The 22,640-nt window shown below is 38.8% G+C and overlaps 1 protein-coding gene across 4 annotated transcripts in view, besides 4 other annotated features; it reads right to left on the reverse strand.

The window, feature by feature from the left end:
• SMYD3 (SET and MYND domain containing 3) overlaps positions 1 to 22,640 on the reverse strand; it is a 757,933-nt gene that overhangs the window by 674,260 nt on the left and 61,033 nt on the right. The window contains exons 1-2 of one of the 4 annotated variants that reach the window (XM_024449136.2): positions 13,796 to 16,108; positions 13,542 to 13,605 (exon numbers count right to left, since the gene is read on the reverse strand). The exons of the other annotated variants lie outside the window; for them this stretch is intronic. The gene's annotated coding sequence lies outside the window, so the exon portion shown is untranslated. Of the gene's footprint in view, positions 1 to 13,541; positions 13,606 to 13,795; positions 16,109 to 22,640 lie in introns of those variants that run through there. 4 annotated transcript variants of the gene reach the window in all.
• Positions 4,705 to 5,206: an enhancer, noted in NCBI's record as "H3K27ac hESC enhancer chr1:246591613-246592114 (GRCh37/hg19 assembly coordinates)". NCBI's record gives its function as "activates a minimal SCP1, AML or CMV promoter by ChIP-STARR-seq in naive H9 embryonic stem cells {active_cell/tissue: H9 hESC(naive)}" and the evidence as "EXISTENCE:reporter gene assay evidence [ECO:0000049][PMID:30033119]".
• Positions 5,010 to 5,109: a silencer, noted in NCBI's record as "silent region_2032". NCBI's record gives its function as "represses an Ori minimal core promoter by ATAC-STARR-seq in GM12878 lymphoblastoid cells {active_cell/tissue: GM12878}" and the evidence as "EXISTENCE:reporter gene assay evidence [ECO:0000049][PMID:35858748]".
• Positions 5,207 to 5,706: an enhancer, noted in NCBI's record as "H3K27ac hESC enhancer chr1:246592115-246592614 (GRCh37/hg19 assembly coordinates)". NCBI's record gives its function as "activates a minimal SCP1, AML or CMV promoter by ChIP-STARR-seq in naive H9 embryonic stem cells {active_cell/tissue: H9 hESC(naive)}" and the evidence as "EXISTENCE:reporter gene assay evidence [ECO:0000049][PMID:30033119]".
• Positions 5,220 to 5,289: an enhancer, noted in NCBI's record as "active region_2854". NCBI's record gives its function as "activates an Ori minimal core promoter by ATAC-STARR-seq in GM12878 lymphoblastoid cells {active_cell/tissue: GM12878}" and the evidence as "EXISTENCE:reporter gene assay evidence [ECO:0000049][PMID:35858748]".

Consider the following 22,640-nt stretch of genomic DNA (forward strand, 5'->3'; position numbering starts at 1 on the left):
AGGAGGATTGCTTGAGGCCAGGAGTTTAAAACTAAGCTGGGCAATATATTTTATCTCAAAAAAATAAAAAAAAAGATAGCCTGCACTATAAGAAATCCAGTAGAAGAGTGGTCCCCAAAGACTAGACAATAAATGAGAAAATAGGGAGCAGGTAAGCAGCCTGTTTAAAAGAGGGAGGGAGAAGAAAATGAGGTTGAAGTCTAAGTTTCAGAACAAGTAGAATCTTATAGACCACTGTAGAAACTTTGCCACAGAAGTTTCCCCCAGAAACAGTGCAAACCAGGAGACAATGGAACATCTTTAAAGTGATGAAAGACAGAACAAAAAGTCAAGCCAGAATTCTATATCTAGCAGAAAAATCATTAAAAATAAAGGCAAAACAAAAATTCCAGACAAATGCAAGAAGAATTGGGTACCAGCAGACCTAAAGCTAGAAATTTTTAAGGAAGTTCTTCAGGTTAAAGAGAAAGGATACCAGCTGGAAACAGATGAATACAAAGAAATGAAGAGTGCTAGAAATGTTGTAACAATGTACCGTGGGGTTTATAACACGTACAAGTAAAATGCATGATAAAATAGCACAGAAAATAGGAGGGGAGAATAGAAGTAAACTATTGTAAGGTTCTTACATTATATATTAAATTTATATTATTTTACAGTAGATTATGATGAGTTAGAGATAGATGTTTTAAACCAAAAGCAACAACAAACAAACAAGTATAGCTAACAAGTCAACAGAAGAGATAAAATGGAATATTAATAAATACTCAAAGGAAGACAGAAAAAGAGAGGACAAAAACAACAAAAATAAATTAAAAAAATAAATAAATAAGTAAACTTACTAAAACATGGCAAGAAAAATGCCTACCAAGCAACATATTTAAGCTGGTCTGTGTTAGTGCATCTGTTGGGAATAAAGCTGAAAACCAACATCTTTACTAATTGATATAAATGTCTGCCTGAAGTTTTCACAGATGATTTACTGTAATATGGTCATTCTACATTGCTTTCCTTTCCATCTGTCATAAAATAGCTGTGTATGATTTTCAAAATTAAAAAATTAACTTTAATTAGCCAACTAGTTTACTGATAATATCTTCTCACTCAAATAAGTTTTTGAACTACTAGACATCGCCAAATAAAAATAGCAGTTGAGGATTTGTAAAAAGAAAATTAAGTCAAATAGTTATTTGCAAAATCGTTTTATCATCTTTGGTTCATGGAACCATTATGTTTATCTTATATATGCTACAGCTTTTTTATCAACATGCAAAAAGTTGTCACATCAACATACCCACTTGCAAAAATGTAATTATACTTTATATAATTTCTTATATACTTTACATAGCGATAATAGTAATCAAGTACTAACTATGATAGAATTCATATTGGCGGAGATAAATGGAGCAAAATAATATTGCTTACTTTGTAAAAATAAATAATTATCTTATTGATGTTGCCATTTATCCTACTTGATTCTATTTAATCGGCAAAAACCCCAGGCTCAATGTAAAACTGGTCACAGCAAGACTAGGTCAGATCTCTTTCCAAAGTGCCAGTCCAGACTTCTGAGTGACCATGGGCAAAGCACATGCGGTGAGTGGTAGAGGAACCCCAAAACTTTTTCAACACACACCAGAAACCGCAAAGTTACCCCCACCCACATATGGTTCCATTCAGAAACGACCACAGCTCTCCTGGTACCGGAGATACAACACCAACCTAGATAACAAAGACCACAGAGTACATCCATCTCCTCAGTTTGGTCTGTAACTGGAGTATCTTCTACATCTCCACAGCACAGATCCTTGGAACGCCACTGTAACATAAGCTCAGCACTCACCATTCTCTTACATGCCTAAGGCTTTCTACAGTAAGCCACAGCCACTCTCTGCCTGAGAGTGTTCACTGGCTGGGAGCTTGCTGAGACAGGCCAGAAACCAGAGCTGGACAAGAGTGAATGAATAAATACTCCCGCTTCTTTGCCCTCAGGTAAGATAACTATGAGGTAGATTCCATGTAGCTTCACAAAAGTACCCAATGGGATTGAGCTTCAGTTGCCAATAGTTGCGGCCTGTTCATTAGCATACCCTGTAGTGGCTTCATTCTGTCTTACTTACTCAGCTCTTTACAGGTGCTTCCTGGGATCATCTCCCTAATAAACTACTTGCACTCAAATCCTTGATTACTTTAATGCCATCCTTCAGAATGATGCCATTTCGTCCAAGAACAAGGGATGCCTTTAGTTTTGTTCAGTTCTACTTTCGGGCCTTTCAGGAGTGCTTTAAAGTTTTCTTCCTGTAAGTTTTGTACATTTTTAAAGTTTAATTGCTGAGTATTTTATCTTTTTTTCTTGCTATTGTAAATGGGGTTTTCTCTTCGATTATATCTCTTTTTTTTTAAGACTAGTCAAGCGCAGTAGTAACAAGTGGAGAAAGACTAGAACAAGGAGTTTAATCTATAACTGACTGAAAAGTCAATTGAGATAACTCAGTTGGACCTTTGGACCAGCCTTCCTTATACCTTCTAACTCATTATTGTTTACATTTATGAAGGCTTTTGATTTTTCCATGTTAATTTTATCATACCTATTACCCTATTGAGTTATTTTACTGAGTTGGGATTTTTTAACGACTTTATTGAGAAATCATTTACATGCCATAAAATTCACTGATTTTAAATGTACTATTCAATGGGTTGAAGTATATTTAGAGAGCTGTACAGCCATCACCACAATGTAATTTTAGAACAGTTTCATCACCCCAAAAAGAAACCTTTAGGCCCATTAGGAGTTACTCCCTATCCCTACCCCATCTCGACCTCCCAGCCCTACACAGCCACTAATCTACTTTCTGTCTATATAGATTTGCCTGTTGTGGATATTTTACATAACGAATCATATGACATGCGGTCTTTTATGTCCGGCTTCTTTCACTTAGCATAATGTTTTCTGAGGTTCATTGAGTAAGGTTTTATCATTGATTTACTAGGGTTTTTTTAAGTAAAATGTCATATGAGCTGCAGATAGAAATCATTTTCCAATTACAATGCCTCCAACTGTTTCCTCCTGTCAAGTGCTTTTGTTAATACTGCCAGTACAATGGTCCCAACCTTTGTGGGAATATTCTTAGTGTCTTCCTAATAAAGTAAAGTGCTGATTATTTGATACTTTAACTCTGAGAGGAAAATCATATGTTTCTATATATGTCACCACCATATTACATTAACTAGAAGCCATTATTTGTTCATCTACAACAGGATAAAATAATGTCTGCCCTCTCTACTTTACAGAAATCCTAAAAAGAAAATATATATAAAATATTTTATAAACAATAAAACTCTATGTAAATTTGAGAGCCTATTTACTATACCATAAAAATAATTTTAGAAACCACTGAACTCCTTTGAAAGTGTGTGTTTTTAACTACTACCAAGGAGAGAGAAGTTAGTAGACAAGAAGCAAGGCGACTAGATCATTCAGCCATCCAGGTATGTAAACAAAGAAGGAAAGAAGCTAGCTACAGAAAGCAAATGTCATATTGGAACACACTGAGTTTTCTAAGTTCCTCTGACATATTTCTGGTCACAGAACTATCACCAAACTTAAAGACCTAAAGGACTTCTAATATTAAACATTAAAATAGTGGCTCACGCCTGTAATCCCAGCACTTTGGGAGGCCGAGGCGGGCGGATCACGAGGTCAGGAGATCGAGACCATCCCGGCTAAAACGGTGAAACCCCGTCTCTACTAAAAATACAAAAAATTAGCCGGGCGTAGTGGCGGGCGCCTGTAGTCCCAGCTACTCGGGAGGCTGAGGCAGGAGAATGGCGTGAACCCGGGAGGCGGAGCTTGCAGTGAGCCGAGATCCCGCCACTGCACTCCAGCCTGGGCGACAGAGCGAGACTCCGTCTCAAAAAAAAAAAAAATAAAAAAAAATAAATGTGAGCATACATACATTTAAGAAAGATTAAGCAGGCCAGGTGTCGTGGCTCATGCCTGTATTCGCAACACTTTGGGAGGCCAAGGTGGGAGGATCACTTGAGCCCAGGAGTTCAAGACTAGCCTGGGCAACACAGGGAGACTCCATCTCTACAAAAATTTTAAAAATCAGCCAGGCATGCCTATAGTCCCAGCTGCTCAGGAAGCTGAGGTGGGAGGATGGCTTGAGCCCAGGAGGTTGAGGCTGCGATGAGCCATGACTGTGTCACTGCACTCCAGCGTAGGTGATACAGTGAGATCTTGTCTCAAGAGAAAAAAAAAGTAAAGCAGAAGAAGAATTTAGAATTTAGAGGTATGCTTAAAAGGTTAAAAGATTCTTAAATCCTTAACTTATTACAGAGGAATTCCAAATACAGACATGAAAATGGGGGATATCTACATGACTGAAAGTAACTGAAAATATCTGCTTATCTACTCAATGAAATGTTCAAATATAAAAAAATTTTAGACCTCTTGACAATGTAGGAATTGACAGCCAGTACCATTATTAGTGCTTATTTGTTAAAGTAAGGGGGAAGGAAGGTAGTTCAGTTAGCTCTTGTAAACACCCTCGGATTGATTTGTTCAATCCTGGAAAAAATTGGTCTATGCAATAGTAATTTTCACATTTTTAGAGTTCCTTTAACCTACTGTGTAAAGTATGCAGTGGGAAGGAAGTCAAACTAGTTACTTAATACTTATCTTTAAGTTGAATTCAAATTAGTCTCAGAGTTAACTAACCAGTGTAAGAGTTAGGGTGTTTTTCAGTTGCAAATAACAAAAAAACAGATTTGCATTAAAAAGAAAAGAAAACCCAGATAGTGGGCAGGTTTCAGAGTTGGTTAGAAATAATAATGACAACAGTAACAACAGCAAATACTATCTGTCAGGTACTGCTCTCTCCATTTTGTGTGTATTAATCTATTTAATCCTTGCCACAACTTTCTGAGAGTTGTTATCCTCATTTTACAGATAAGGAAATTATCTAAAGGTACAGAGAGCATCTATTACATTTGCCCAGCATGCCACAGTTAGTGAGTAGCAGAGCTGGCATTCAAACCCGTGCAATCTAGACCAGAGCCCATGCTCTTAACTGCTGATTCAAACCCGTGCAATCTAGACCACAGCCCATGCTCTTAACTGCTGATTCAAACCCGCGCAATCTAGACCACAGCCCATGCTCTTAACTGCTGATTCAAACCCATGCAATCTACACCACAGCCCATGCTCTTAACCGCCGATGCTCTGCTGCCTCGTGATGGCTTCTCAGGCTGTGACTCCTTTCTCTCCAGTTCCCTCTGCTCTGCCCTCTTCCAGAGCTAGCTTGCAGCTCAGTCTGGCTCCCCGTCAGGAATATTATAGATGCCAATGGGTCCTGGAACTACCCTGTACTCATATAAAAGGGGAGAGCACAAGCATTCCTTCCTACCAAACAAAAGCTCTGAGTCTCACTTTAATAGGACAGATCAGGTATTGTTCCCACCACAGAACCAACCACCGTAGACAGGGAATAAGGTTGCCCAGAGTTATCTATGCCAATGGGAACCCACCACAGGTACAGTAATAAGGGAAGTCTACCCCACCAAACCTGCAAAACTGCCATGTAATGAGCTGGATTGGAAAGAATGTTGAGTAGAAGCCACACTGTCCACTGCAACCAGTGATACTCTTGGGTGATACAACTCTAAGAAAGGGAATCAAGATATAACCTTATGGTATAACTTACTAAAATTCATCAAATGTAAGATGCTATGGATTGTAAGACATGCCATTATTAAAGATACCATTAAAAACAGTATAGCACTGCCAAGTATCATCTTAAGAGGCCTTCAAATGTAGGACGCATCCTAATTTCAGTTATGTCAAAAATGTAGGAGGAAACGTCCATCTTACAATAAAACAAAAATATGAAGTGCCATCAGCTGGAGTTGTAAAAATCCATAACTGCTTTCCCACATATATCTACATAAGTCTAGGCTATGACTCTATACACAGGCTGAGAAATGAAACAGCAATCAACCCTGCTGTGTTCCCAGAACTTAAGATGAAAGATATTAACTAAAAGAGTCGTCAGAGGCCTCACTCCTCAACCCCTCAATCAAACACCATGTCAGACAAGCAATATCCACCATATGCCAGGCACAGTGTCTGGGTCCTACAAGGGAAAATGTCTTAACTCCTGCCTCAAGGATATGACTGGCAAGTACTAAATAATCATACGAGAAACGGTAACTCCTGCCTCAAGGATATGACTGGCAAGTACTAAATAATCATACGAGAAACGGTAACTCCTGCCTCAAGGATATGACTGGCAAGTACTAAATAATCATACGAGAAACGGTAACTCCTGCCTCAAGGATATGACTGGCAAGTACTAAATAATCATACGAGAAACGGTAACTCCTGCCTCAAGGATATGACTGGCAAGTACTAAATAATCATACGAGAAACGGTAACTCCTGCCTCAAGGATATGACTGGCAAGTACTAAATAATCATACGAGAAACGGTAACTCCTGCCTCAAGGATATGACTGGCAAGTACTAAATAATCATACGAGAAATGGTAACTCCTGCCTCAAGGATATGACTGGCAAGTACTAAATAATCATACAAGAAACGGAATGAAGTAATGCTGTTAAATGGATATCAATAAAATACAGGGGCTCAGAAAAAGGAAAGATTAATATAGACTAACTGGAACAGAGACAGTTCCAGCATCAAGATAACATCAGAGCTGCCTGGGCATCTGTAAGAAATGAGGATCTATTTAAGAGAGGAAGGCAAGAAGCAAGAGTAAATAACATGGAGGTATTTCAGATCACAGTAGTAGAAATCAAGTACTTGAGTTGAACTAGAGCGAAGGCCGTATGTGGCAGAGTGGACTAAAAAGCTAGAAATATAGTTTGGAGCCAGCACATTTGGTAGGCAAGAAGAGACACTGAACATTCTTGGGCAGAGAAATGACATTATCAGAGAGGTTGGAGAAGAATCCCTAACGAGTTGTTTGCAGACACTGGGCTTACGGGGCTTGTGGGACATCTAGGGAGTTTTCACTGAAACTGCCCAGAAGCCACCCAGATATAAGTATGGAATCCACAGAAAGATCTAAGCTAAGAGTTTTTATCTGGGGGTCATCAGGACTAGATGATAACTGAAGTTATGAAATAAATGACATTTTCTTAGGAGGATCTGACATGCCAGAAAAACAAAGGAGCCCAGAGAAATTACCTGAGGAACGTCAACATTAGTGGAATGAGCAGAAGAGAAGGAGCTTATGTAGAAAAAGCAGCAGAAACTACACAACAAGAGGAAGGAAAACCAGGAACGTGGGAAAAGAGTATGTAAGAAAAGAGAGAAGTTAATACTGACCAGTTTCACAGCAAGATAGAATAAGAACTGAAACATAACCCCTGAGATTTAGATTATTGATGAGCTGGCTGAAAGCAGTACACATGGACTAGCAAGGATGGGGTAGTCCACACAGGGAGGTCAGAAAAGGATGCTTAGAAAAGATTGCTTTTGAGCTAAGAAGTTAACCAGATAAACAGGAAAAATCACCAAATGTAAGGGAAGAAAAATAGTATCTACAAAGAATAGGCTGGATCCAATACAAAAATATGTATCTTAATCAAAAAAAAGAAAAAAACAATAAACGCACACATAGGATTTTTACATTCAACAAGCATAACTAATTTGTTACCTCACACAAATTGATCTTTTGCTTTAATTACAATGCTAACTTTTTAAGAAAAAGAACCCAATTAAAAATCCAGCAAATACACAGCTCAGCAAAATTTGATGAAAAGGTATGCAAATAAGCCACACCTTTTGTATGACCTCTTGCTAAAAGGAGCAACTTTAGGCCAGGTGAGGTGGCTCACACCTGTAGTCCCAGCACTTTGGGAGGCCAAGGTGGGTGGATGGCTTGAAGCCAGGAGTTCGAGACCAGCCTGGCCAACATGGTGAAACCCTATCTCTACTAAAAATACAAAAATCAGCCAGGCATGCTGGTGTGCGCCTGCAGTCCCAGCTACTCGGGGGAGGCTGAGGCAGCAGAATCGCTTGAACCCAGGAGGCAGAAGTTGCAGTGAGCTGAGATGCCACCAATGCACTCCAGCCTGGGCAACACAGTGAGATCCCATCTCAAAAAACAAATAAATAAATAAAAGGAGCAACTTTACATATATCTGCTATACAAATTACTCTCCATTTCTGCAACAATCTGTTTAACTCTAGGCAACAAGTTCAATCTCAAATTTCATTTTGACTCAATTCTTTTCTTAAAAAGGATTCCATATTTTATAATAGAAAGAGCCATGAAAAAACTCTAACTTTTATTTATTTTAGGAATTGGGAAAATCATTCCATTCCTAAAATCCGACATATCTGACTATACTCTGGAAAAAAGTATATAGTCTGGCAACTCAATAGACATGTATTTTTTAAAAATCTCACTGAATAATTGCAGATAAGACAAACAAGAGTAATCTAACAATTATGCCAAACTTAGATTGGACTACATGTGTGAAAGTACTACCTCTCTAGCACTTTCTCCAAGGAAACTATCAGAACCATTTATTTTCCACTGCATAATAGCAGAACTATCAGTTATGTGACATCCTATAAAAAGACAAACACAATTTCTAATTATATCCATTCTTTCATTTTAATTACTCTAGAGAGTGATTACATATTTAACTTGGCTATCTTTAAAAAATTAAGTTGCTTTAATGAAAGTATTTTAGATAGCTACACCACCATACATCAATTAGAAAGTTAATCATTCCACTTGTTCTCACAAAAAGATTTTAAAGGAGGTGGAGAGGTGGTGTTTGGTGCTTTATAAAAGTTAATTAGAGGGCACCCAGAAAGAGAGATCATCCAGGAAATAAAGTTTATCAAAAATCCAAAATATGTAATCTGCACAGTGTCAAGAAACAGCAGGAGATTCTCTTTAATGAGTTTACTCATGTTCACTTTAAAAGAAAATCTTCAGTTCACGATGTGAGGTTGAGTTTTAAATATACTGGAAGACTTCTCTGTGTAACAGACTGTAAGACTCCACTCGCTCGCTTGGTCTTGACTGCCTAACTGATGGCAGACTATTATCTAAAGCATATTCCTACTCTAAAGGCAGCCTTCTATTTTACAGTGATCTTGCTGTATACTTCACAGTCACACTCATCATTACAAAACATTCCGAAAGCTTTTTTTAATAAGTTTTCAGTGTTTGAATTATCATGATCACTCCCTCAAATTAATTACTAATATGATAAGAAATAATCAAGGTTAAGTTGATACTTAATTTTTGGCCAAAGCAGGTTCAATGGATCTATCCTAGATCAATAGATAAGCTTAAGAATGCATTTCTGGAAGTCCTAGCCAGAGCAATCAGGCAAGAGGAAGAAATAAAAGGCATCCAAACAGGAAAAGAAGTCAAACTCTCTCTCTTTGCAGACAATATGATTCTATACCTATAAAACCCTAAAGACTCTGCCAAAAGACTCCTGGAACTGATAAATGACTTCAGTAAAGTTTCAGGATACAAAATTGGTATACAAAAATCAGCATTTCTATACCCCTATAACATTCAAGCTGAGGGTCAAATTAAGATCACAATCTCACTTACAATAGACACACACACCAATATCTAGGAATACATCTAATCAAAGAGGTAAAAGATCTCTACAAGGAAAACTACAAAACACTGCTGAAAGAAATCAGAGATGTCACAAACAAGTGGAAAAACATTCCATGCTCATGAATTAGAAGAATCAATATCACTAAAATGGCCACACTCGCGGTGGCTCACGCCTGTAATCCCAGCACTTTGGGAGGCCAAGGTGGGAGGATCACTTGAGGTCAGGAGTTTGAGACCAGCCTGGACAACATGGTAAAACCCCATCTCTACTAAAAATACAAAAATTAGCCAGGCATGCTGGCACGCGCCTGTAATCCCAGCTACTCAAGAGGTTGAGGCGGGAGAATTGCTTGAATTCAGGAGGCAGAGATGGCAGTAAGCCAAGATCGTGCCACTGTACTCCAGCCTGGGTGACACAGCAAGGCTGGCTCCGTCTCGAAAAAATAAATAAAATAAAATAGCCATACTGCCCAAAGCAATCTACAGATTCAACGCTATGCCTATCAAACTACCAACATCATTTTTCACAGAATTAGAAAAAATTATTCTAAAATATAGAACTCAAAAAGAGCCCAAAGGATTGCCCAAGCGATTCTAAGCAAAAGGAACAAAGCCAGAGGCATCACATTACCCAACTTCAAAGTATACTATAAGGCCAAACAGTAACCAAAACAGCATAGAACTGGTACAAAACCAAACACATAGACCAATGGAGTACAGAGAACCCAGAAATAAAGCTGCACACCCACAGGCATCTGATCTTTAACAAAGTCACCAAAAATAAGCAATGGGGAAAGGACCCTCTAGTCAATAAATGGTGCTGGGATAGGCTACCTATATGCAGAAGAATACAACTGGACCTCTACCTTTCATCATGTACAGAAATTAAGTCAAGATGGATAAGATTTAAATATAAGACCACATTCTACAAGAATCCTAGAAGAAAACCATTCTTCTAAAGGATTGGTTTAGGAAACACCATTCTGGACATCAGCTTTAGAAAAGAATGTGTGACTAAGTCCTCAAAAGCAATTGCAACAAAAACAAAAATTGACAAGTGGAACCTAATTAAAATAAAGAGCATCTGCACAGCAAAAGAAATTATCAACAGAGTAAACAGACAACATATAGAATGGGAGAAAATATTCACAAACTGTGAATTTGTCTATTTGTCATCCGACAAAGGTCTAATATCCAAAATCTATAATGAACTTAATTCAACAAGCAAAAAACAAATGACCCCAATACAAAATGGGCAAATATATGAATAGACACTTCTCAAATGAAGACACACAAGCGGCAGACAAACATGAAAAAATGTTCCACATCACTAATCATCAGAGAAATGCAAATCAAAACCACAATGAGATACCATCTCACACCTGTCAGAATGGCTTTTATTAAAAAGTCAAAACAGAACAGATGCTGGCGAGGCTGCAGAGAAAAGGGAACGTTTATCCACTGTTAGTGGGAATGTAACCTAGTTCGGCCACTGTGGAAAGCAGTTTGGAGATTTCTCAAAGAACTTGAAACAGAGCTACCATTTGACCCAGCAATGCCATTAGTAGGTATCTATCCAAAAGAAAAGAAATTGTTCTACCAAAGAGACACATGTACGTATATGTTTGTTGCAGCACTACTCACAATAGCAAAAAACACGGAACTAACCTAGGTGTACATCAATAGTGGTTTAGATAAAGAAAACATGGGGTGTGTGTGGAATAGTATTCTGCTCCCCATGGAATACTTAGCCATAAAAAAAGAACAAAATCATGTCCTTTGCGGCAACATGGAAACAGCTGGAGGCTATTCTCCTAAGCAAATTAATGCAAAACAATAAAACCAAATAACATGTAGTTCACACTTATAAGTGGGAGCTAATCACTGGTACTGCTGGACATAAAGACGGCAACAATAGACACTGGTGACTATTAAAGGAGAAGAGGAAAGGAGGAGGCAAGGATTGAAAAATTATTGGGTACTATGCTCACTACCTGGGTGACAGGATCATCCCTATTTCAAATCTCAGCATTACACAATATACCCATGCCACAAACTTGCACATGTATTCCTTGAATCTAAAATAAAAGTTGAAATTATTTTTTTTTAAAGAATGTGTTTGTGATTATCTGAAATTATTGCAAAATGTATATACATTTTTTTCCAAAGAGGTTTCACGGATTTCATAAGTTAACTGTTTTATTCTATGAAGAGACCATGGAATAAACAAAACAAAGCAGCAAAATGTTAAGTGAAAACTTTATATTCAGACTCTGAAGCTTCTTTGGTAAGGGTAGTGTGTTACGCAAAGAGGTATTCTGAGTAACTGTAATACTAGATAAGGAACAGTCAGGACAAAGCCACTGCTTTTCTCTAAGTTAGGAAAACATCAGGAACTCCTGAGAATTCCAAAATAGCTTGAATGAGGAAGGGGGAATAAGGGAAGAGTAATAGCGTTGAGACTCTAAATGATAGAAGAATTCCAAGGAGAAGATACAAGAATTCCAAGAATTCCAAGGAGAAGATACAAGAATTCCAAGAATTCCAAGGAGAAGATACAAGAATTCCAAGAATTCCAAGGAGAAGATACAAGGAAACTGGACAAAACACGCTAAATGAAGCTACATTAATTAGAATGTCCCACGTGGCATTTGAATTTCCCTCTATTAGAGTTTTTGCTACATTTCCCTGAAGGTTTATCGAGGGCAGACACTGACCTTAATAGTCTTTGTATCACGGGTTCCAGCACAGTACTTCTCACATAGTTGTTACTCAACATTTCCTGGGTCAGTAATGAAAACATGGGTTGGAAATAGGTGGCAAGTTTTTTTAAAATTATTAAACCAGAAGCTTTCAGTGGGTAGTAGTTACATATTCAAATTTCCTTCACCCACTTGAGAGAGAAAATATAAAGGCTATGAAATGTGTCGGGAGAAAAACTATGAACCATTCTTTCTTATTTGAAAAAAAAAAAAACTATACAACAATAGAAGAAAGTTGAAAAAGAACCTAATCTTCCTTCATGGAAACATGGACTTAAACAAAAAAAGAACCTAATTTTCCTAAAGTGAACTAAAAGTTACAAATTTCAATCTCCAATAATTGAAGGCAAGAACTTTGTTCTTATAGACTATCTCAGGCAGCAGTTTAAAAGGGGGGCCTACAATGTTTTCCCCTTTGATTTTAAAATAATTTTACACTTACATAAAAGTCACAATAATAGCACAGAGGATTCCCATCTACCCCTTCACTCAGCTTCCCTTAACATTGACATCACCACAGTAATACATAGAAAGTATCTAGGTTCCTGCCTCCCTAGTCTCCTCCGATCTGTCATAATTCCTAAGTCTTTCCTTGTCTTTGACACTTGATACTTTTGAAGAGTAATGATCAGTTATTTAGGCAGGTGTCTTGCCTAAATCATGTTCTTTTTCTGTTCCACAAGGTAAAGATGTATTTAGATGTCCTGCTTCGTTAGTCTCCTCCAATCTGTGACCCAACATGCTCCCGCCCCCAAGGGCAGGTTTACTTCTATTACTTCTATTTTCCCCAGGTGTAAAGGGTTTTCACCAGAGCCCCAAAGGTAATGGTCATTGTTTTGTCCTTTCTCTGCTTTCATTCAGTAGAAGGGAAAAGGACGATAGGGAATAAGGGTCCTGCCAGAGTTTCTTTCTTTTTTTTTTTTTTTTTTGAGACAGAGTTTTCACTCTCGCCCAGACTGAAGTGCAGTGACACAATCTCGGCTCACTGCAACCTCCACCTCCCGGGTTCAAGCGATTCTCCTGCCTCAGCTTCCCAAGTAGCTGGGATTACAGGCACCCGCCACCACACCCAGCTAATTTTTTGTATTTATTAGAGACAAGGTTTCACCACGTTGGTCAGGCTGGTCTCGAACTCCTGACCTCGGGTGATCCACTCACCTCAGCCTCCCACAGTGCTGGGATTTCAGAGTTTCTTACTGTATCTGCAGCAGCTGCTCTTCTCCTAGAGACAAAGAATGCTTTCTCAGGAATCTCACCTGTCTTTTTGGGAGCACCTGGTAGAGTTTTTGGAGAAAAAGCCTACAGGTGGGTATGAACTCCCCTCATCCACAGTTCCCAGGGTCTTCACACTTTCTTGCCAGCCCACATGCAGCATCCATCAATTTGGTTAACTATTCTAGCTGAATGCTTACCAGTGTCCAGCTGTGGGTGCCCCAGGTAAGCAAGTGCTGATGTCTTTCCCTACATCTGTCTCTTCTTAGACGTCAAGCTAGCCGATTGCCCTATAACCTCAGCAATCTGATGGGTTAAAAAACAAAAGTCATGAACTTGTCATTGTCCAGATGTTTCTGTGTTTAGTCTTGCTTTTAAGATTAGAAGCCATGCTTTTTCTGTACACAATTTTGTTTTTATTAATGCGTGAATTTGTTTGCTAAAAGATAACGCTATGAAACAAATTTAAAGTTTATTGAAAAATCAACTTAAAAGCAGCATTCCAAAATATTCTAATATAATTTTTAATCTTAAAACTTAGAGTTTTGACTGTTGATCACTGTCATTTTTTCCAGCTGTTGTTATATCAAGAAAACTCTCATTATTTCCATAACAATAAAATTCAAAACTGAAATGCAATAATGCATGTGGACATAAATTATACTGAGAATTCAACCTAATAAAAAACACATAACAGCTGACAATGATTTCTTAAAAGCATTTGCTTAAAGTTTGTCAGAATGCTGGGAGAATACCAATTACGTATTCATAGTCCTCATAATTTTGTTTTACAAAATATTTTCTCAAATCTCTTGGGAGATTACTATAGGGTTAAAAGCTGTTTTAAGATCAAAGATCAAATAGAGGGGGGAAAAACCCTGTAATTCTCTACTGCAGCTCATTGATCTTTCCCATCTGCTATGCAAAAAAGGAGATGCATGTTAAGTTTGAAAAAAGAAAATCTTTTTAACTAGGAATGACAGCATACTGATTCTGGCAAACGTTCAGAGGGAATTTTTATATATGAGATCCAACTCCCTTTTGCCAAAATATAAATGATGTTAACAATAGGAAAACAAAATCTAGTCAGTAGTCTCTTATTTATATATTTCTTCCTGCAAATATATCGTATGATCAGATTTCTAATATAAAACACACATAGTAAAATAAATTTTCAACCATCAAGAGCACAGGCTTAGGGGTGAATGATAAGAGACAAGTGGAGTAAGACACTGAAAAACGAAGTCAACTCAGGACCAGAGGAACTACTTTCCTGGTACTCTTCCCTCCCTTGTATCCTCCAGGGATTGATTCCAGGACACCAACCCCCTCCCTGGCCCCCAGCACGGATACCAAAATCCATGGATGCTCAAGTCCCTTCTATAAAATGGCATAGTATTTGCATATAAACTATGCATATCCTCTTGTATACTTTATATCATCCCTAGAATACGTATAACAGTGGTCCCCAACCGTTTTAGCACCAGGGACCAGTTTCGTGGAAGACAACTTTTCCACAGATGCTGGGGCGGGGGGCGGAGTGGGGATGGTTTTGGGATGAAACCATCAGATCATCCAATCATCCGATCATCAGGCATTACTTTGATTCTCATACTGTGAGATCTAGTGTGCAACCTAGATCCCTCACATGCACAGTTCACAATAGGGTTCACGCTCCCGTGAGAATCTAATGCCGCTGCTGATCTGACAGGAGACAGGGCTCAGGCAATAATGCTCGTTCACCCGCCACTCACTCCCTACTGTGCGGCCTGGTTCCTGACAGGCCATGGGAGTGGTACCGGTCCTCGGCCCGGGCTCTGGGGACCCCTGACTATGCTATGTAAATAGTTGTTATGCTGTATTGGTTTTATTTGTACTATTTTTATTGCCACATTGTTATTTTCGGGGGGGGGGGTTCCCAATTTTTTATTTTTATTTTTTTAAGAGACAAGGTCTTGCTATGTTGCCCAGGCTGGCCCCAAACTCCTGGGCTCAAGCAATCCTCCCATTTGAGCCTCCCTAGGAAATGAGACTACAGGCAAACACCACCACACCCAGTCCAAATATTTTGAATCCAAGCCTGGCTGCATCCACAGATGTGAAAACCATGGATTCAAAGGATTCACTGTATAGTCCAACAATTCAAGTTTCCGTGGACTTTATGTAAAAGCCTAGAAGCCTTCTCATGTATCTTCACCTTGGAAACAATAAAAAATACTTCCCAGGAGGCCAATGACATGGCCCATTTTTTAGAACAGAAGCAGCACATTTTATCTCCTGAGACAAACGCTCATAGGCACACCAACAATTATCACCTTTGGTAACCCTCAAAGTATTTTAGCATGGGGCCTGTTTCTTTCCTTAGTGTGCCTTTAGCTTCTCTCCTCTCACAGTCACTGAATTCTACACTTAAAATGGGTGAGACTGACTCTTAAGAAAAAAAAGACAGTTGTATATTCTCACACTAGAAGCACAATAAATGTGCTAGAAGTACTAAGTACTCTGGTAGGCGGGGGTGGGCGGATTACTTGAGCCCAGGAGTTGAAGACCAGCCCGTGCAACGTGGCGAGACCACATCTCTACTAAAAAAACAGAAAAATTAGCTGGGAGTGGTGGCGTGCCCCTATAGTCCCAGCTACCAGGGAGGATGGGATGGGAGGATCACTTAAGCTTGGGAGGTCAAGGCTGCAGTGAGCCATGATCGCACCACTGCACTCCAGCCTGGGTAACAGAGTGAGACCTTGTCTCAAAAAAAAGTGTTTTAGTTCTTTATAAGTTTGATGATATTTCTATGATCAGAAGTATGTCATAGGAACTTAACTCTTGTTTATATCCATTAGCCTGTGGTAAAATCGGTTTCGTTAGAAGTCATTTTGCTTGAAGTTTACAACAATCTATTGATGATGTTGAGTGAGGACTTACTCTACATGAGAAATAAAAAGAAGAAAATAATCCCATCACCTAGAAAGACAACCACTATTAAACCAATATACACAAAAAATATATAGATAGAGAAAATTTTATTTTTCAAGACCTCAGATGCCATTTTGGAATCTATTTTTACCACTTAATGTGATTATTTGCCCCATGTCACTAAATATCATTAAAAATTAACATTAGCAAAAGATACCTCCCACAAATTGAGTACTTACCGTTTGCCAAGCACGACATTAGCACTTTGCAGAAGTTATTTCATCCTCACAAACAGCCTGTGAGGAAGATATCGTCACACCCACTACACTGATATGCAAACTACCTATCAATATCTAATGATATTTTGGATCACAAACTAAATAATCATGACAGTATATTTTTTTAATTATGAAGTCAAATTTATAAAAGTATTTTCAGGCAGAAACTAGTGATGTAGGAACTCTCTCTCCAAATCTAGAAGTATATATCTATGAAAAAAAATATTTGGGGGCATAAAAACTACGTTAAAATAAATGTAGAAACATGTTGAAGATCTTCGATGTGACTAAAAAGGAAAGCCTCATTTTTTACTATGATATAGGAGTAGCAAAGGGTAATTAAAACAACCAGCAGCAGCACTGTGAGCTTTCACAGAAAGATACAAGTTCACAAAATCCCTTTCCTAATGACCAAGCTCCATGGATTGGGGCTTTCGCATCTGTGACCATCTTTCTGAATGTCCTGGCATACCCCGTCTTTTGTATTTTCCTAAGAGGAAGAAATCCCTCTGTGAATGGAACAATAACCTCAGTGCCATGTGTGTAAGACTATATATGCCTACTGCTTGGTTGAAGGCCACTGGGAATTACACACACCTGTTAGTGGGGAGCAACATGGTCCTCCAATCTGGTTACATTACGTAGAAGTAAATTATAGGTGACCCTTAATCTCTGTTTTGTGCGTCCCCACTTACCCTGCCGTTCGTAAGTACACGCACATTCCAGACACATGAAGAGGAGCTTTTTATCCAAGACTTTGAAAGAACCGACTAGGAGTTTACAGGAAGATCTCTAATGAGTAATAGTGGTAGGTAAAATTCACGCTGAGCCAGTTCTTTCTTGGTCGTCATTTGTGTACGTTTCCTTACTAAAGTACCAAAATGTCTTTGTTTCAAGGTCATTTCACCTATGGAGTAAATGCATAATTTGTAACTACGCTGCAAAATTTGTGGTTACACTGACTCCAAGTTATCTTATTTCATACTGAAAAGAACCCTGAAATGAAAGTACCACCATTCACTATATTGAGGAGGCAAATTTAAAACCAGGAAGCTGATATTACCTGTTACTGCCAGGTCACTCCTTTTCGGATTATCACTGGAGCTTTCAAATCTTCAAGAGATCAGAAAGCATTCCAGTGGCTCAACAAAGGCACTGAAACAAGGACAAAAAATGCCTCACTGACATTTTAGGGGCTAATGCCTATATTTCTTTCTTTCTTTGTTTTTTCCCCCTTGAGATAGAGTCTCACTCTGTCGTCCAGCCTGGAGTGCAGTGGCGCCATCTCAGCTCACCACAACCTCCACCTCCTGGGTTCAAACGGTTCTCCTGCCTCTGCCTCCCAAGTAGCCGAGACCACAGGCACATGCCAGCATGTCCAGCTAATTTTTATGTTTTTAGTAGAGATGAGGTTTCACCATGCTGGCCAGGCTGGTCTGCAACTCCTGGCCTCAAGTGATCCTCCCGCCTCGGGCCCCCAGGGTGCTGGGACTACAGGCGTGAACTTACGCGCCCCACCTTCTTTCTCTTTACTATCTTTGATGTTCATGTATCTATTCATTCAGTCAACAAGCAGAAAATGCCTATCATGTGCAAGGCACTATGGAAGGCACTGAAGAATCACACATAATAGAGACACACTCTCAAGGCTTTTATAACTTAGCTGAGGAACCCAATTTATTCACCACCATGAACTATATCATATAATAAGTGCTACAATGTGTAAGCGCTGTGGGAGCACCATGGAGGTGTTACTTGAGTCATACCATGAAGTACCTTTTCTTCAGGGAAGGAAGGAATGATGTGATAATCCATTAGAGGTATGGCACAGGCACAAAAACAATAAACCCTTATGGAAAAGTCTTCACTAAAAGACTATTGAGGCCAGGCATGGTGGCTCACGCCTGTAATCCCAGCACTTTGGGAGGCCGAGGCAGGCTGAGGTCACGAGTTCAAGACCAGCCTGGCCAACCCGGTGAAACCCCGCCTCTACTAAAAATACAAAAATCAGCTGGGCGTGGTGACGCACACCTGTAATCCCAGCTACTCGGGAGGCTGAGGCAGGAAATTGCTTGAACCTGGGAGGCAGAGGTCGCAATGAGCCAAGATCCCACCACTGCACTCCAGGCTGGGCTATAAGAGCGAAACCCCTTCTCAAAAAAAAATAAAATAATAAAAAAAGACTACTGAAAAGAGAAAACAAAGTAAAAGTAGTTACACAGAAAATAAGAAAATGAAAGAATCTAATGATAAAGAAATATACTGATGTGAAATTGGAGACCAGTTGGAGGTTAAGTTTAAAAATATATATATATTTTGAACACAGTATTGAAATAGGCCAGAGGTTTATGAATAAGTGAAGCAGACCCATTAACGCAAACACTGGTACTGCTTCCTCAAAGCTTTTGTGAAATGAAGGAAGGCAAAAAGGGAATGGATAGATGATCTTGGGAGCCAGACTCTGGTAAGAATCTGTGCCCTGGGAAGGACGGTTAGTTCTTCCACACTGTGCACTCCACCTCAGGGCATCTTATCTCCCTTCCAGAATTCTTGCCTAGCAACTTCCCTTACAGTGCACCAGGCTCCCAACTTCAGATTTTATGCTCTACTGTATTTAAATTCTTCTTATTTAAATTTAAAAATGTATGGTAGCTCTTCCTATTTTGGATTTTGTATATTCCTTCCAGTTGTTTTTGTTTTGTTTTACTCTCTTATGTATTTGCATTAAGTAACATTTTGGTTCACATATATACATGCCTAAGAAATTTTCCTCAACCTCCTCTTACCAATCAGTAACACTGGTTTCACCAAGGAGTAAGATTCTAATGTGTTAAACCCTATTTAATATCTTTCAGTTTGATCCTCAAACTGTACATTTCTCCATCTGCAAGTACAGCGTTACATTCACCAACTTACCTAATGGAATTTGATACATGGTTGGACATTACTATAAATTAGCTGAATCTCAATTTATTTAGGAAGCTCTACAATGTAACTCCTCAAAAGGCAACAGTCTCCTATAGAATCAATATACATGTAACACCATTAAGAAGCAGCCTCTCAGAAAAGCGATTCAGCAATTGAGATTAATGTAATGAAAGTTATTCAGGTAGATAACAATCTAATTTTAAAACACTTGAAAGAAATAAGTCCTAACTCCTTTCCCATACAAATAGAGATGCTAGCCAGTCTGGGGCAAGGGAGGGTTGGGCTGGTGTAGTGGCAGGGAAGATGGGCACAGGAACCTAACACCAATTTTTTCACTTGTACATTTCCTAAAAGAATTTTGAAAAACCTTGTGCTCTTCTGACATTTTAGGTTGACATGTTAATTTAATGATGGCATGGATATAGTTTCCAGTATGGTATATACGTATCTTAAATATTATTGTTGCAACCCTGCAGCTGTAGATTTCACTCTTTTACTTAATGAAATATGTCCACCAAACAATCTAATTGTTAAGCCTGTTCTGTCAAATCAATAAATCAAATAAAACTTACTTTCTGTCAAAAAATTCATATTTCATTTCAAATAAAAGTGCTAATCTGCCTTCCCTATAAACCCTCCCTCACCACCCATCACCACCACAGACAGACAACAATCAACTTGATTCTAAAAGAAAGAAATAAGGTATGGAGTCCTGCCATGGGTTTGTTACCTGGAGGAAACATCTATGATTTTGACCAAAGCAGTCATCACTTTGCTATCTTCAAATTCACACCCAGAACCTAAGAATTTTTTTTTTTTTTTTGGAGACAGAGTCTCGTTCTGTCACCCAGGCTAGAGTGCAGGTGCTTGATCTCCGCTCACTGAAACCTCCGCCTCCCAGGTTCAAGCAATTTTCTGCCTCAGCCTCCCAAGTAGTTGGGATTACAGGCATGTGCCACCACGCCTGGCTAATTTTTGTATTTTTGGTAGAGACGGGGTTTCACCATGTTGGCCAGACTGGTCTCAAACTCCTGACCTTGTGATCCACCCGCCTCGGCCTCCCAAAGTGCTGGGATTACAGGCATGAGCCATCGCGCCCAGCCCCAGAACCTAAGAATTCTTAAATGGTCCCTTTAGTGGGTGAACCAGAGGATTTACACTCCCTGAAGCAATCAAATATTGTAAGATTTGTGCTGGGTCAGAAGCATGACTGACTGCCTTTGTCAAGTGGGAGGAAAGCAATTTGTGAATGGAGAGGTAGGAAGGAAGACTCACTCTGCCACAGGTGCTCTCAGGCAACCATATTAGAAATTATCAAATGCAGACATTGAGCATCTAAATACCATTAAAACTATTTTTGCATGCAAAATTCCTGAAAAGTCTCCATGAATCCCGAAGTGTATATATACACCCACTTTAAAGACAACTAATCTAAAAAACAGCTCCAGAGTGCTTAACTCAACATTGGAAGCCAGGCACACAAAACGCAAAAGCTGTCAGTCATAATGTTCTAAGAATAGAAGCAGAATAAAGATAACAAGGCAATGTGGTAAAAGCTTTAGGATACGCAAATTTGACATAGGGGTGCAGAGCTTGGATTCTGGAATCAGAAAGTCTGGGGTTTGGATTCCACCTGTACTACTTACTAGCCATGTGACTTTAAATAAATTTCTTTATCTCCTTGGGGCTTTGTTCCCTCCTCTTTAAGACAGGAGCACTATTGATGTTGATGATGGCAGTGATGATGTTTTAAGTATCTGTACTTCACTGAATTGTTGTGAGGATTAAATGAAATAACACAAGGCACTTAGCACAAAACGTAGCATGTAGTAAACATTCAATAAATGCTAACACAACATTAGGAGGGAGAGTTTTACTTAATAAAATATGTCCACCAAACAATCTAATTGCTAAGCCTGTCCTTACTGTCAAATTAATAAATCAAATAAAACCCTCTCCTGAGTGTAAATCACTGCCCATTTTTGCCAGCAGTTTAGACTATGAGTGAAAAGAAGGTTTTTAGGAACACCAAGCCAACTCAGGCAAAATGGAGACATATTTTCAACTACAGGCCTGTCCTATGTCCCTAAAATTGCCTTCCATGAATGTAACCCCAATCAGAGTATAGTTTAAGGTAGAACATAAGAATTTGTCCTTCTTACTATTGACCCAAGGGATAAACAGCACTAGTAAAATTCTGCTTTTTTATAGATACTCTCAAATCTGTATCTGAATTTCTAAATGCATTTAAGATGCCCGGGGTCTAAAAACATACAACACAGTTAACAACAAAGAAAACGAACTTAGGAGGGCTGAGTTAGAAAACCCCTACAGCTGTTAAGACAGTCTTTTGCAAACCAAGAGATTAGGAATTTAATTTGTACAAGTATGGAGGGGACTTCCAGCCACTTGTCTGAGAGAGCTTAGTACAGATAAGAAATTAATGTGCCTGAATGACTTAGACTTAATTCTTATAAACACTCTCACTTCTGAAATGGGACCGGAGCTTTGCCTTTGAGTGGACATCCAAAAAGGAAAAAAAAAACAAAAAAAAAACCTGGGAATAAGAGAATTAACTTAAAAACTCATAAAAAGCAAGGCATTACTGTACATCTGATAAGACTGAAAACCATATGAATGCATAACTAATGAATTTCCCACACACCAAGTTCATGCAAAATCACACAGTTAATTCCATTTCATACTTTTAAACCTTCACTAGAATTGGTTGTTTTTTTAATCTTTACTTTCCCATCTACTAAGGTAAGTCAGAAGACCCTGGATGTAAACATATCAATTGCCTCTAAAATAAAGACCAAGTATTGAAATAGTGAAGAGGATACTGCATTGTCTCCTAGTGCTTTTGAGGAAGCAGAGCCCAAAATCATGGCTCATTTTACTACTGGCCAAACTGTGAAGCAGAATA

This window comes from Homo sapiens, chromosome 1 (assembly GCF_000001405.40).
Source record: "Homo sapiens chromosome 1, GRCh38.p14 Primary Assembly".
Classification (NCBI taxonomy): domain Eukaryota; kingdom Metazoa; phylum Chordata; class Mammalia; order Primates; family Hominidae; genus Homo; species Homo sapiens.